The sequence below is a fragment of the Homo sapiens genome, chromosome 2 (assembly GCF_000001405.40).
Source record: "Homo sapiens chromosome 2, GRCh38.p14 Primary Assembly".
Classification (NCBI taxonomy): Eukaryota; Metazoa; Chordata; class Mammalia; order Primates; family Hominidae; genus Homo; species Homo sapiens.
Window position 1 is genome coordinate 98,161,650 of NC_000002.12, and position 16,599 is coordinate 98,178,248.

Here is a 16,599-nt window from a genome sequence, read left to right on the forward strand (position 1 = left end):
GGAGATGCCCATCTATTATTTATCTATTTATCTATTTATTTATTTATTTCAAGATGGAGTCTCATTCTGTCTCCTGGGCTGGAGTCTCACTCTGTCTCCTGAGCTGGAGTGCAGTGGTGTGATCTCAGCTCACTGCAGCCTCCGCCTCCCCAGTTCAAGTGATTCTCCTGTCTCAGCCTCCTGAGTAGCTGGGATTACAGGCACGGGCCACCACGCTCAGCTAATTTTTGTATTTTTAGTAGAGACGGGGTTTCACCATGTTGGCCAGCCTGGTCTCGAACTCCTGACCTCCATTGATCTGCCCGCCTCGGCCTCCCAAAGTTTTACAGGATTACAGGCGTATGCCACCGTGCCCAGCCTGCCCATCTATTCTTTACCCACTTTCCCCCATAGTAACATAGTACCACAGCATGGCTGGGACCTTGACTTTGATACAGTTAAGGTAGCAGGACAGGACCTCTCACCGTGCACCTCTGCATGGCACACCACAGAGTGCACATCCATTTCCCCCCGGCCCACCCGCCCCAACATCTAGAAACTGCTGATCTGTTAGAGCCTGGATCTCGATGAAGGCAGAGCCTGTATCCCAGCCCTAAACCACTCTCCTTGGCATGAACTTCGATTGATTGAAAGACATAAATATCTAAATTAATGGTGCCATGTCATTTTAAAAAAGTGTTATAGAGTCAAACCTATCCCTTAACTGAGACAGTAGAGGTCCAGAAAAGGAGACCAGGCAATCACTATTACATTGGGGGAAATATTATACCTGTGGTTTCAAAGAAGCAGGACACCTTGGCTACATGGCGAAAGGATTAGGGGTTGTTGCTTTCACAACATTCCATTGCATTTCCCCTCCTCGCAGCGGTGACCCTGGCTTGTGTGAGGTGCTTTTGAATGTTTTTATTCCTATCTTATTTGGGTATTATCAATAATTCATTTTAAATATTCTGGCTGCTACAAACATTTACTTTAGAAGGATTTATTGTATCCTAAAGTCTGCATTTATGATTTCTTGAGATGATATCACTTCCTTGGGGATTTCAGTTCTGATTCTCAGAAAGAGATTAGTGGGGGAAGCGGAATTTGATGTTCAGAAATGTTCCAGAAACTTGGCTGCAATGCGTCAGGCCTGCTAGGCGGGCTGCCACATTCCTGGGCCTGTCTCAGCCGGCCGCTCATGCTGTGTCTCCCCTTTTAGGAGCTGGAGTCAGAGAGGACGTGTTTCTCGTTTGGCAAGAGATGGAGGAAGCCTGCAGCACGCTGGCCCAGATCCAGAGGCTGGTGGCCGAGCCTCCCAAGCCCGACGTGGCCACTGTGGACTGCGGTTGGTGCTATTTCTGGTCACTGGTGTAAAAGATTCATAAATGTTACTAGCTGGGGACCAGGGGCTGCTTCCATGTTCCTGACCAGAGAAGCTCCAGAGCCCAGCTGCGAGGGGCTGCTGAGGAGAGCAGCCAGAGCTGTGTGGGGTGAGGGGTGGGGAGGGGGCTGAACACACATGCATGGACATGTGTGTGTGTGTGTGCCCACGTGCTCACATGTGTGCATATGTGGAGATTGTCAGTACCCAGAGCTGGACAGTAAAGTGGTAAAAACAGATGCTTGGGCCGGGCGCGGTGGCTCACACCTGTTACCCCAGCACTTTGGGAGGCCGAGGCGGGTGGATCACGAGGTCAGGAGATCGAGACCATCCTGGCCAACATGGTGAAACCCCGTCTCTACTGAAAATACAAAAATTAGCTGGGTGTGGTGGCCCGTGCCTGTAATCCCAGCTACTCAGGAGGCTGAGGCAGGAGAATGGCTTGAACCCGGGAGGCAGAGATCACAGTGAGCCGAGATCGTGCCACTGCACTCCAGCCTAGCAATGGAGAGAGACTCTGTCTCAAAAACAACAACAACAACAACAATAACAATAACAAAACAGATTCTTGACAAACTCTTGTATACTAAGGAAAACCAGACCTCTGTATAAAACTGGGCTCAATTCTGAGTACAACATGGACAAGTGGGGATTCATAGCCAAGGTCAGGGGGACGCCAGTGGATGGAAAATTATTAAGAGGAGATGTTAAGGGCAGGGGGGCTTCTCGCTAAACCAACTTGACAGGATTCTTTCAGGAGAGAGGCCAGTGTGATCAGATGTCGCCTGGGGGACGGTGGGAACGAGGATGTGGATCAGATAGCAAAGCGATCAGATACTGAGGGTGGGGCATTCTGGCTACACTGACTTAGGCTTTTTGCTAAAATCAGGCGATGCAGAGATGAGCATAGAAGTGCAAAGGTTGAGGCCTCGCTGAGAAGAGCATTCAGAGGAGCCTGGCTGAAGGCTGGGCAAGGGGAGACTGTCGAGTTGCCGGTGCTCTTCCAGGGAGGAGGAGCAGGAGAGCTCAGTGATCGGCTCGGCCAGCCTTGACCCTTGCCTGCAGACAAAATCCCATCCACGCTGTCTGTGTCTGTGCAGGCAACCATCTGACTTGCTCTCAGATGCCTACAGGAAGGCCTAAATCAGTTTTCTTTGAGCAGGGTCCAGGACCTTGCGGCAGAAGGGGACACAGGCTGGGGAAAAAGTGTGGAATGTTTACTTGGAAGGAGTAGTGTGAATGGGGGTTTGAGTTATTAATATTAAAAAGAAATTATTAAAATCCAGTTGCATTTCTGATATTCACCTAACACTCTTCTATCTAATTTGGAATAGCCACTTGAAACTTTGGAGTTTGGAAGACTGATTTGCATTCCCTAAATGGTAGTAACAGCAATATGACCACTGAATGGGCACATACTATGTGTCAGGTGCTGCCCTGAGGGGTAGGCCTATATTTAGCTCATTTAAGCCTCATAACTCTATGAGGGAGTTTCTTATTATCTCCAACTGACAGGTGAGGAAACTGAATTACAGAGCGATTAAGTCATTGGCCATGGTCACATAGCTAGCAAACGTAGTCTGATTTTGAACCCAAAATGCAGAACAGCAACTTTCCTGCCTAAACTTTTACAAAAAAATATTAGCAGTGAGGCTGTACTCATCTTGATGTTGGTTTCCATGATTTAATTAGCACCTACCCTATTCTGAGTAAATGAAAGCACTTCTTGGTGTTTGATGGGTTCCAGCCCCACAACTGCACCATACAAACAACCTCACTGCATTTTTACTAGTGAAAGACATTGAGACTACACAAAATATTTTCTCCCTTTTTTTCTTATAAACCAAAGCATTTTTCATAACAATGGACATGAGTTTGGGGGTGAGAAAGACCTGGTTATAAATCCCAGCTCCATCACTAGACCCACCTGAGTTTGTCTCTTTTAGCCTTATTCTTCTGCACAACGACTATCATAATCTTGATGCTGAGGAACCACTGTACAGACAAAATACAATGATGCATGCTCCACACCAAGCAGGGACTTGATGTCAGCGCATTCTTTGCCCTTTCACAATTAGGGGAGTTGGTACACGGATTCTCCTGCATGGCCTTTCCTCTGTAAGGTGCTGGTTTCCTTTGGGGCACACCTGGTGGACGCACATACCTTACACATCAGGCACTGTTTAAGGCTCCTTATGAGCGTTAGCTCATTTCATATTTGCTACAATCTTAAGAGACAGGTGCTACTGCTAGTATTATCTCCGTTTTGGCTTCAGTAACTTGCCCAAGGCTACACAGCTAATGAGATGATGAAGCCTAGATTCAAAACCTAGTCCACCAGTAAAAATACTGATATCTGCTTCCCACCCACCGGACATGTAATCAGGATGTCTGATTAAATCATCCTGATTTAATCCCTATGGGATGACATTGGGACTTTTGAAAGCTCCCCGGGTGATCCTAGTGTGCAGCTAATTTTGGAACCACTGCCAGGCTGCAGTGCCTCCTGGGTTACAGAGGTGCAGAGGGCAGAGGGCAGGGAGGTCAGGCCGGCTGGGAAAGGGATGCAGTTAGAGGAGAAATGGGGATGGGGACTTGTGTAGAGGGAGAGAGAGGTTGAGGCATGGGCAAGCCTGCTGTGTGACTTGATAAATTCCTGGTGACTGTGGCTTTTTCCTGTGACTGGGTGTCCTGACCTGGGCTTAGGGCACTGGTTGCTGTGGTTGCATTGCCAGGGTTGGCTCCCTGGGTGTTCCTGAGAGGGACCTAATAGGCTTGTCTGGAGGAGCTGCTCACATGTAGTGACACCCACTCGAAAACCCAGATGGTCCCCTGTCATCCTGCAGATGAACAAAATGAACACCAAGCAGGGGACCCAGGCCAAACCCAGCACCTCCGCCCGGCAAAGAGAATGGGGAGCCTGCTGCTAAGGCATTTGTTTCGGGGAGTGTGTGGCCTGAATTGTGCCCCCCCAGTTCATACAATGAAGCCCCCATCATGAGACTGTATTTGGAGACAGGGTCTTTAAAAAGGTAATTAAGGGACCAGGTATGGTGGCTCACGCCTGTAATCCCAGCACTTTGGGAGGCCAAGGAGGGTGGATCACCTGAGGTCGGCAGTTCGAGACCAGCCTGGTCAACATGGCAAAACCCCATCTCTACCAAAAATACAAAAATTAGCCAGGTGTGGTGGCGCATGCCTTTAATCCCAGCCACTCAGGAGGCTGAGACACCAGAATCACTTGAACCCAGGAGGTGGAGGTGGCAGTGAGCAGAGATTGCCCCATTGCACTCCGGTCTGGGCAACAGAGCGAGACTCTGTCTCAAAACAAACAAACAAACAAACAACAAAATGGTAATTAAGGTTAAATGAGGTCATAAAAGGAGGGCCCTAATCTGATAGGATTGGTGTCTTTATAAGAATAGGGAGAGACACCTGCGAGCCCTCTCCCCAGAAGCACATGGAGGAAAGGTCGTGTGCAGCACAGAGAGAAGGTGGCCGTCTCCTAGCCGGGAAGAACAGCCTCATCAGAAACCAGCGTTGCTGGCACCTTCATCCTGGACTTCCAACCTCAGAGAGAAAATAAATGTCTGTCCTTTAAGCCCCCCAGCCTCTGGTGTTTTGTGATGGCAGCCCAAGCTGACTAATACAAGGCGTATTTAAGTTTGGTGTGGTTAGTCTTAAGAGTTAACAGAAGGTCTTGGATGTTATTCCTAAAGGAAACAGATGAGTTATAAGCCTCAGATACTGGGCAATGATGTATCAGTTCCCTTTGTTTTAATCTAATACACACACACACACACACACACACACTCAAACTAAAACCCAAAATAACTCTATGCAGAAATTTTCAAAAAATTCTTTGAATGTACCATCTCTATTGAAAAAGGAAAGTTTGGCTGGGACCTTTCATCACTGGCTAGCCATCTCAGCTTTCGTAGCTTCAATCTGGCCCTCTATACCACGTGTCCGACCTGCTCTCATTCCCACCGCAGCCCAGAGTTACTGAGGCAAAGGCTGGGTCAGTTCAAGACTGGCTTGGAAGGCCTCCTAGGAAGGCAGCAGCTGTTCCCCTAAGCTGGCTGCTCAGGGCCTGCAGACCCCAGGAGAGATGGTGGCCAGCGGGACAGGGAAGGGGCGGATTGGAGGAGATCTAGCAAGCTGCCATTCCGCACACTGGTTCGAGGTCACCTGGCACATACAGGTCCATAGTACCAGGAGGGCAGTTTCTGGGAGAAATGTCTCATGAGTCTGGTGCCTGGGATGAAAAGAAGGTGAGAAGAAGGTGAGGCCACTGATAGTTTTTTTTTAACCTCTTTTAATTACCAAGAGCAGGACGTGAGAGTTCCCTGGAAAAAAAAAACTGACAAAAATGTATGAATCAATGGTTTGTAGGATGCTGAACACTAAGAATGAAGGCCAGTGATTTCTGACATACAGGGCCAAAGAAAGGTGAGCTCTAGCTTTCCCTCGCTTACTGCCTTGAGAGAGTTTCCAGGCCCTGGCGCACAGAGGAGGAACGTAGGTGGAGCCCAGAAAACATCCTGAGTTTGGGAGACTGAGCTGAGGGTCTGGAGGGACCAAGGCAGCTACAATTCACAGGACAAAGTACCAGAGAGGAGACAGATGCACAGAGAGAGAAGTCCAGACATCTGCAAAGGGTCCCCCTCAAGAATTCATTTGAATACTGATCCGCTCATGCCTGTGAGAAGGTTATCTGAGTCTGGGGAAAGGGCCATTGGAAAGAATTAGAAGAAACGGGGCTTGGAATTCACACAGGACCAAGAACAGTGCCTGTTTTCATCAGCCTGAAAGCTTTAGAATCCATGGGTCCCTGGGTAGACTACTTGGAAAGGTCTTGCCTCAGTCATGGGGAATAATTAGCTTTAAATTGAGCACTGCTCTGGGCCCTCCTAAGAAATCATTAAAGCAAGACATGAAAAGAACAAACTATTTCTAGGTAACATAACTGCATCTCTGAACAAAGCTCAAGAAAATTTGTAAGAACAAAAGCATCCAGTACCCAACAAGGTCAAACTCAAAATGATTGGCATCTAATCAAAGATTACAAGGCATGAAAAGAAGCAGAAAAATGTCATCCGTGATAAGTAGAAACATCAATCAATCAAAACTGACTGAGAACTAACACAGACATTAGAAATGGCAGAAGAGTCACTCAGAGTTATAACTGTATTCCATATGTTCAAAAGCTAATACGAGGCATATTTAAGTTTGGTGTAGTTAGTCTTAAGAGTTAACAGAAGGTCTTGGATGTTATTCCTAAAGGAAACAGATGAGTTATGAGCCTCAGATATTGGACAATTATGTATCAGTTCCCTTTGTTTCAATCTAATACACACACATACACACACACACACACACACACACACACACACAAACTAAAACCCAAAATAACTCTAAGCAGAAATTTTCAAAAAATTCTTTGAATGTCCTATCTCTATTTAAAAAGGAAAGTTTGGCCGGGACCTTTCATCATTGGCTAGCCATTCAGCTTTCTTAACTTCAAGAAAGATATTTAAAAAGACGCATACTGAACTTTTAGAGACAAGAAAGATATTTAAAAAGACACATACTGAACTTTTAGAGACAAGAAAGATATTTAAAAAGACACATACTGAACTTTTAGAGATGAAAACTTAAGAGAAGAAAATATGTTAGCTGGAAAGCTTACTGAATGGAATCAATAGCAGATTAGACATCGCAGGAAAAGAGATGAGTGGACTTGAAGACAGCAATAGAAACTATCCAAAATGAGACAGACATATGAAAAAAAGATTTAAAAAAACCCGAAAGAAGATCTGTGAACTGTGGGACAATTTCAAGTGGCCAAATAGACATTAGATGGGATTCCTGCGGGGAGGAAGTAGAAGGGACAGGGAACAGAAAAATATTTAAAGAAATGTGTTGACAAGTTTCCAAATTTGATGAAAACTATAGACCCAGAGATCCAAGAAGTTCAGTGAATGCTAAGCACAAGAAAATGAGGAAAACTACACCCAGAGACATTTTAATTGGTTTGCTTAAAATCAGTAATACAGAGGAAATCTTAAAAGCAGCCAGAACAACAACAAAAAAGATATGTGCAAAGCCACAAAGACGAGGATGACAGCAGATTTCTCACTCAAATGAAAAGACGGTGGGGCAGCATTTTTTCTTTCAGTACATGAAACATTCAGCCTGGAATTCTATACAAAGCAAAAATGTCTTTCAAAAACAAAGACAAAATAAAAACATTTTCAGACATACAAAAGCTGAAATAATTTATCATTGGCACATATTATACATGAAGTGATGTAATAGTACTTGAAGTTAGACTATGATAAATTGAAGATGTGTAGTATAAACCTAAGATAACCACTAAAATAACAAGACAAGCTGACAAAGGAAATAAAATGGAATTAAAAATACCCAATCCAAAACCTGTCAGAAAAAAAAAAGAAGAACAAAGAACAGATAGGGCCAATAGAAAACAAATAGCAAGATGATAAACATAAATCTAACCATACGTATGTCAAAACTTACCAGTGTGTACACTTTAAAGGTGTATGAGATATTATATGTCAATTGTAGCTCAATACAACTGTTGGTAAAGTGAAAGAAGAGGACAAAGTAGAAGAGAAGGAGAGTCACTCCTCTGGCGCTGAGCTGTTCAGAGACGTGGGTGGGACACACCTGGGCATTCTGTGTGTGTGTGTGTGTGTGTGTGTGTGTGTGTGTGTGTGTGTGTGTCGGTGTGCCTGTTCTGGGCATGACCCTCAAACATGAAGATGGCTTTTCTCACAAAACGTTAAAGGATTTGTCCAGGCTGGGCATGGTGGCTCACACCTGTAATCCCAGCACTTTAGGAGGCTGAGGTAGGCAGATCACTTCAGCCCAGGAGTTTGAGACCATCCTGGGCGACATGGCAAAACCCCGCCTCAACAAAAAAAATGTGAAAATTAGCCAGGCATGATGGTGCGCACCTGTAGTCCCAACTACTTGGGAGGCTGAGGTGAGAGAATCGCTTGAGTTGAGAAGTGGGGAGTCGAGGTGGCAGTGAGTGGTGATCGCACCACTGCATTCCAGCCTGGGTGACAGAGCGAGACTCTGTCTCAAAATGAATGAATGGATGAATGAATCAATCAATCAATGAATAGAATTTGTCCAAAGCTTGACCCTTCTTTGATGATGCTGCCTCTCAAAGCATTTCAGGAACTCCTCATTTGGAATAACCTTCACAGCCATTTTGTGACTCAGTAGAAATCATTAGTCGAATCACATTGTGTAGTCATGCTTTAATCATGAACAAAGACAGTCCAAAAGATTACCATCTGAGACTCAAGATTTGGCTCCAAATACTTGCTTGTTTCAAAATACCAAATTCAGTTTCAAAAGACAAGGAAATGGCTGAAGGTTCATTCAGGCTCTGCAGGCAGTTGCAACCTACAGTAGGTCTACAGGAGTTTAGAGCACATATTTTTTGAACAAATGGAGAGGGGGATGGTGCTTATTTTCATTAGTATTGTATTAAATAATCAGCAAGATGTCTTTATAGTCCTGGGTGGTGATGAAGTACACAGACTCAGAGTTAGGAAGATTTTTTTTTTTTTTGAGATGGAGTATATCGCTCTGTCACCAGGCTGGAGTGCAGTGATGCCACCTCGGCTCACTGCAACCTCTGCCTCATGGGTTCAAGTGATTGTCCTGCCTCAGCCTCCTGAGTAGCTGGGACTACAGGTGTGCGCCACCATGCCCAACTAATTTTTGTATTTTCAGTAGAGACGGGATTTCACTGTGTTGGCCAGGATGGTCTCTATCTCTTGCCCTCATGATCCGCCTGCCTCAGCCTCCCAAAGTGCTGGGATTACAGGCGTGAGCCACCGTGCCCGACCAGAACAATATTAAACCTGGCTCTGCCCACTCCTGTTGTGTGATGCTGGGCAAGACACTTATTATCTGTGCTTCAGTTTCCGTATTTGCAAAATGTGAATGATAATGATAATACCTACTCCACGGACTGTTAGGAAAGTTACATCAGAAAACACATGTAAAACACCTAGAAATGTGCTGTCACATAGTTAGAATGTAATGATGGCTTAAGAAAAGTTTAATCCACTCGTCTATTCTTTCCTTTATTTAGTGCTTACTCAATGTAGCACTATGGTAGGTGATGATGTAATGGTAAATAAGAGACATGGAACGGGCCCTCATAAAGCAGGACCTACATGAACCATCTCTTGCTCCGTGAAGGTAGAAAATCGGATGAACACAAATGGGGTATTTACGATTGAGGAAAAGTGGGAGCTTCTGAGCTATTCCCAGGGTCAAGGAAAGGTTTCCTGAGGAAATAACTTTGGAGCGTGTATCTGAGGGTTGAAGAGGTAAGTTAATGAGGTGAAAAGATGGGAGAGAGCCGGGAGTGTATGCCAGGAAGAAGAATAGCATATGCAAAGGCCCCGAGGCAGAAAGGAGAACAGCACTTTAGAAGAACTGAAAAGAGGAGTGTGGCTGGAGTGCAGTGTCCAGTGATGAGTCTGGAGAGGGAAGCAGGGACCCGATTGTGCTGGCTCTGGAGGCCGCGGTACAGGGGTTCACCCTCAATTTCATACCAATGGCCAACTGCTAGAGGATTGTAAGCAGGGGAATGCTAAGATCAGATTTACATTTAGAAAAAAAAAAGATCACTTTGGCTACAGGGTGGGAAACAAGTTGGAGATGAGGGGACAAACAGGATGAGGGAAGAGAATAAAGATGTTAGTACAGTGATGGTGGCATCCTGGACAAGAGTAGGAGGAGCCTGTGAAGGTGATAAATGGGCAGGTATGAGGGAGACTTTGGGTGCTGAATCGACAGTGAAAGAGGAAAAGTTCCCTTGTCCCCTTGCAGGATGTGTGATGGGGGAGTGGCTCGCTTCTTTAGTGCCCTGCTGCTCAAACTTCTAGGGGAGCATACAGATGGGCAGGCTGTGGGGTGCCAACCCCGTGCCAATGTCTAGGAGTGAATGTTTACAGCTCCTGCAGCCCCAATGGGCGTGTGTTACAGGGTGCTCTTTTAGTTTGCTATCTATAGGCAGCTTGTGTTAACCAGCTCAATTTGACCCTCTACCTTGTCGCAAGGACAGAGGCTTTCTGTATCCTGGGTTCTTGCCTTGGTGTACCAGAAGAATCGGATCACACGTGGGCTTGGAGAATGAGTGCCAGGTTTTATTGAGTGGAATTAGCTTTCAGCAGATAGGGGAGCTAGAAGGGTGATGGTTTTCCCCTGGAGTCAGGCGGCTTGGCAGCCTGGGCTCTCCTCTGACTGCCCCAGCCAAACTCTGCGTCATTCTGCTGGTCAGGGGCCTGCTGGCCAGGGGCCTGCTGGCATGCCGGTGCGTTCCTCCCGACATCCAGCCACCTGTGTGTTCCTCCTCCGATATGCTCCTCTCGATGTCCAGCTGCTTCTGTCTCTGCACAGAATGGGGGCGTGACAGGCCAGGTTGGTCTTGGGAAATGCAACATTTGGGCAGGAAAACAGAAACGCATGTCCCCACCTAGGTCCATGGGGGTGGAACCCTAGCCAGGGTCCACACCCTTCCTGTACCCAGCACTTTCCTTCCCCACTTCCATATCGTTTAAAGGGACCAGCTCTTCCCTTCCCAGCACTTCCGCATCAATAGGACTTGGGGGTGGGGGAGATGGAGGTGTCAAAAGTAAGCTCCTAGATGGATATGGTGTCGTCCACTACACTGAGAGAATGCTGGAGGAGAACTGGGTCAGGGTGGGGAATGACACATTTTGTTTGAACCTATTGAGACTGAAGAATCCTTGAGAGCCCGGTAGAGAAATAAAGGACGCAATTGACTATGTAGGTGGAGAATTCAGATACACTATTGGGGTGAAGTGAACATTCTTGGTATAAAGATAAATATAGACATATCAAGCAGGAACCCCATGTTTCTGAATCTTTGACCCCTAGTTTTTTGGACTCTGATAGCCACAGAGGTGAACATATCATCTGAGTTTTCTGTTCTGCACCAATGCTAGATGTTTAATAAGTGTACTAGATGAAGACTATTTTACCAACAGGATGACTTGCAATTTGAGAGCAGAACAAGCTAATTTACAGAGTACTTGTACATGTTTATCTTTTCAAGAGTGTCTTCCCTTTTTGCTCAAAGAAGGCTGCAGAAGAGATCTGGGGCAGGGCGCAGCTGGTTTCTTATGCAACCAGAAGCGAATGACACACTTGTCAAAGTGTTCACACTTCAGGCAAGGCAAAGGATAAAATAATATTTCTTCCCAGAACTCACATTTTCTTCAGAATGCCTTTATATATGTAGAGCTCTGTGTAGAGTCAAGTGAACTTTGACAAGGTTGATTGATAAGCAACAAGTGAGAATGCCAGAAAGGACCAAGACTGTGCTTACTCAAATATGTATTTTCCAATGGGCACTGAGCTTCGCATTTTCCAGACAAAAAGCACACATGGCAAACATTTGCAGAAAAATACCATGTAATTCTCCCATGATTCAAGATTAATTGCTGAAAATTTTCTCCCCAAATTTGGGAGAATTGGTCGATTAGCATTTTGTAGATGCTATACATATAACTTGGGAAAGATACTGGAATGCGATACAGGTATGGTGAAATGTCAATGTTAAAAATCATGTTGTTAAAAAATGACTGTGGAGGGCTGGGCGCCAGTGGCTCACGCCTGTAATCCCAGTACTTTGGGAGGCCGAGGTGGGTGGATCACGAGGTCAAGAGATGGAGACCATTCTGGCCAACACTGTGAAATCCCATCTTTACTAAAAATACAAAAATTAGCTGGGTGTAGTGGCGGGCGCCTGTAGTCCCAGCTACTCGGGAGGCTGAGGAAAGGAGAATTGCTTGAACTCGGGAGGCGGAGGCTGCAGTGAGCCCAGATCGCACCACTGCACTCCAGCCTGGGCGACAGAGCGAGACTCTGTCTCAAAAGAAAAAAAAAATGACTGTGGAAAAGCACAACAAATCTATTGAGGAATTATATTTCGTGTATTTGGACCCCTAATTATGGAAACACCAAAAATACCTGGGCAAAAATGGCAGAGTTAAGGACCTTCAAAACTTCTCCTTCATAGAAGGCATAAGGACCTTATCAGAATCAACCTTTTTCATAACTCTAGAAATTAACCCAAGGTGTGCAGCAATCTGGGAAGTGTTTATTCAAGAAAAATAATTAAATCTCAGTAAGAATAGTGAGCTGGTGGCATTTTAGCTAGTCCTATTCACATTCCCCAGCTCCAGCTCCTCACTAACCTTAAAAACGAACAGTTTGTGATCACAGTGGAAACCACAGGCTCACAGCCACTGGAGGGGGCAGGATGGGGTTGGAGTTCCTTCAAAGCTTCATTTCCAGATAATTCTCATTATGTGACCTGTTCACTGGCTCTCTGGAAGACCCCAGTTACAAAGCTTTCTTTATTTGACTTCACTCAGTTCTTCCTCAGTGGGAAAAGCCTTTTCCCTGGGAACCGTTGTCAAAAACAATGAGAGGTGATTGATTAATTTTGTGGCTGACTAAGGTTGTAGATAACAGTCAGGACAAACAAGAGGTAAACCAAAACACTTAAGATGAAAAACTGGGGAATGGGATGTCCATTGGTCTTTCCAAAGCTCTGAGGTATTCCTGGGAATCTATCATGCATAGCCCAGGCAGGCACATGCACAGGGCTGTGGGCATGCCCAGGCTATGCATATGTTCAAAAAAAGACTCAGGAGGGCCCTAAGCTCTCATCTTGGGCTGACCCTGAGGCTCTGCACAAGCAGGAAGTAAAGGCTGAGGGAGAGTTGTTAACTGCTACAGCATGGAAAGTGTGGCCTGATACACACACAGCTCCTCAGCAAGGAATAGTCCAAAAGATTTAAGGAAATCTCTGTTCAATTATTAGCTGACCACTGAGTTAACTGAGCAGAGACTCCAGTGGCTACAAATGATAAAGAATGCAGATTTTACAGAATTCAGGAGTGATAAACAAACAACCACCAAATCACAACAAACTCTGGGCAGGTGGGAGAATCTGATTTCCAGAGTTGCTGCATTTTATTATTTAAAATGTCCAGTTGTCAACAACAACAAAAATGAGGCATGCAAAGAAATAAAGTATGGACCATACAAAGGAAAAAAAGCAATCCATAGGAACTGTCCATGAGGGAATTGTCCATGAGGAAACTGTCCATGTCCAGGAGGAAGCCCAGACATTGACCTTACTAGATAAAGATATTAAATAAGCGATTTTAAATATGTCAAAGAACTACAGGAAACTATGTCTAAAGAACATAGGAAGTATAAGAACACTGTCTTACCAATTAGAGATATCAATAATGAGAGAAATTTTATTTAAGAAGCAAATAGAAATTCTGTAGTTGAAAAAAGTTCTGGAGTACAAAGTATTGAAATGAGGAACTGACTAGAGGGGTTCAACACCCCGATTTGAGAAAGCAGAACAAACCAATGAATTTTTAGATAGCTCAATTGAGGTTACCCAGTCTGAAGAACAAAAGGAATAAAGAATGAAAAAAACCAAACAGAGTCTTAGAGACCAATGGCATACCATAAACATAACAACATGTGAACAATGGGAGTCCCCAAAGGATGGGGGAGAGAGAGAAAGAATATTTGAAGATGTAAGGGCTGGAAACTCCCTACATTTGATGAAAACATTAATTTACCCATCCAAGAAGCAAAATGGATTCCATGTAGGATAAAAGACACCCACACCTAGACACATTATAATCAAGCTGTTGAAAGCCCGTGGGGTGCTCCAGAGAACATTTACCTGATCTCCACAATGAATCCGTTTGGTAGAATGTTGGTGGGTTACCATCCTCCATCTCCTTCATTCCCTCCTCCCCATTTCTTGGCTCCCCTGCAGTGCCAGGCAGATATGCTTATTGCATGGTACTTTAGCAAGTGTAGGTTGACAGCAGGTTTAGTTAGCAACTGCAGCAAAGGGCTTGACTGCTCAGAGACGAGCTTCTCTCTCACACCACACTGTCGCCACCTGGCTCCCGGATCTCAGATTGGGATGGGCTTCATCTTACCTTCAGAGAACCCACAGCCCTTGCAGCTGCTCCATGCTGAACCGGCTCACAGGGCTGAAACCTCACTCATCTCACCAGCAGGCGAGACCACATTTCTTTTCCTGACAGTTGTTATGTTTCTCCCTCCTTTCCCAGCTGTCCTCAATTCTGGTTTCCTTCCTTCTTTTCTCCCCTCCCTTCCTTCCTTCCTTTCTTCTGTCCTCCCTTCCCTCCCTCCCTCCCTTCTATCTTTCCCTCCTTTCCTCCCTCCCTCCCTCATCATCACCACTTAACATGTGAATTTCAGGTCACTCAGTCTAAATTTCCTTAACTCCATCAATCCTGTCTCACTTCCTAATCTCAATTGTTCCATATTATACCAAACATCTCCCTCCCTCCCTCCCTCCTTCCTTCCTTCCTTCCCTTCTTCGGTCTTCCCCTCCCTCCCTTCTTTCTCTTCCTCCCTCCTTCCTTCTTTCCTTCTGCCTTCCTTTTCAGCTAATTCACAGCATTCTTTTCCTGTACCACTCCCCATGTGGTGGCCAAGAGTTTGTTCATTGTCTCATGGCACCCATGATCACAGGGGTTATGGTCTCTCAAATACAAGCCCTCTAAAATGTTCTATGCAGAAAGACTCTGGGGCTAAATAGCTTTGGGAATCTTGCTTGTGGTAAGCCCCACTGCCCATTCCCCTAAGAAAGTCTTACAGAAGTCCTGTGATCAAGAATCCTTTGAAACTTTCCTTTCAAGCTCCCCAAACTTTTTGTCTAAGGAGCCCTCTTCCTGAGTAGAAGCCACTGACATGCAGTGGAAGCAGTTTCTGTGGGACCCACTCTTGGAAACATCAGACTTGGTCTAGAGTTCCAGTTTATTCATACGCTGACAGCCCCCCTGAAAGGCATGTGGGGCTAGCGTGGCAGGAATGAGGTGCCAGGCAAGTAACATTCAGTGGAGGAGGCTGGGAGAAGAGAGTTATGGTGGTGAGAAATCCCTGATGGCTGTGAGCCCCTCTGGAGCTGAACCTGGAGGGTGGGTGGATGAGGGACAGGAAGAGGAGTGGGCACTGATACCTATGCCCAATTTATCTATTTGTGTGTGGCCCTGGCTATAGCAGGGATGGTTTTCAAAAGCATTTTCCCAGTAGGTCTTTTTCATTGAAAAATGTTCTGAGATTGACAAGTGGGATGGGGAGGACAGGGCTGGTCAATTCTGTGGCATAGATGTGCTCCCTTCTCATAACAGAAAGAACATCTTTAGCAATCTGTCCTGTGGAATAGGAAAGCCATGTAATCAGGATTAGCTGTGAGCTCATACTTCTATAATAAATGAATTCTCTGTGGGTGAGAATTCATGTAACATTTTTAATTAAGATAACTGCAGGGAAAAGGAAAGGACCCCTTAGTAAGTGACGCTAGTGAATGGATGATGCCCTTCCCTGCCCCTCCCAGGAAAATGAGACTCAGCCACTAATTGGTGTAATTAGCACTGGAAGTTAAAAGATTTCCCTCCTTTTTTTTTTTCTCCTTTCTTTAGCTTTAGAGTGCCTGGGTTCTTTGGTTTTGATTGCTTGGTCATCCTTTCTTTCCTCTATGAAAGTTCAGGTGGCTCTGGCGGCTTGCCTGAACCCCCTTTTCAGATGGTAATTGGGAGCCTGAATCCTGCCCTCAGGACTGCACCGCCTGGTCCACTGTGAAGTTGGAGTCAGAAGTTAGTCTCTGACTCTTTCAAAACCCTTGCGAGGATTGGTTCGAATGTGTTTTTAGGAAGTTCTGTGGTACACTTGAATTTATACTTGATAGAGGGCTCTTAACTTTTTTAAAAGAAGGCAGCCCAAAACAGAGCAGAAGGGTATAATAAGGTGTGTGTTGCTATGGAAATAATTGAATGAAAATTTAATTTCCTACTGCACCTATTGATCAGGAAAAAAAAGGGAGAGGAGAAAAGGAAAGGTCTTCCTAAGCAGAAACACAATGAATGGGAATATAATTAATAATAATTGAAGAAAATGTCACCCCAAGGGTTTCTCCAAGGAGGCTGATCTCCCTGACAGAAATGGCGGCATCCTCTTTTTGCTGCTTCTTTGTGATGGGAGAGAGTGTGCAGGCGAACCCCAGGGACTCGGAGCTCTGAGAAGCCTCTGGCTTGAGCTCCCGGAGAAGCGTGAAAAAATGTTTTGTGATTCATGGAAAAGCC

At 45.3% G+C, this 16,599-nt stretch overlaps 1 protein-coding gene across 19 annotated transcripts in view, besides 1 other annotated feature; it reads left to right on the forward strand.

The window, feature by feature from the left end:
* VWA3B (von Willebrand factor A domain containing 3B) overlaps positions 1-16,599 on the forward strand; it is a 243,450-nt gene that overhangs the window by 74,483 nt on the left and 152,368 nt on the right. For 18 of the 19 annotated variants that reach the window (XR_922885.4, NR_144296.2, XR_922884.2 and 15 more), the window contains one exon: positions 1,202-1,327. The exons of the other annotated variant lie outside the window; for it this stretch is intronic. Coding sequence is in view for 13 of the 18 variants with exons in the window: in NM_144992.5 (NP_659429.4) it covers positions 1,202-1,327 (126 nt within the window). In the remaining 5 variants the exon portion in view is untranslated. The remainder of the gene's footprint in view (positions 1-1,201; positions 1,328-16,599) is intronic. 19 annotated transcript variants of the gene reach the window in all.
* Positions 1,331-1,877: an enhancer, noted in NCBI's record as "H3K4me1 hESC enhancer chr2:98779443-98779989 (GRCh37/hg19 assembly coordinates)". NCBI's record gives its function as "activates a minimal SCP1, AML or CMV promoter by ChIP-STARR-seq in naive H9 embryonic stem cells {active_cell/tissue: H9 hESC(naive)}" and the evidence as "EXISTENCE:reporter gene assay evidence [ECO:0000049][PMID:30033119]".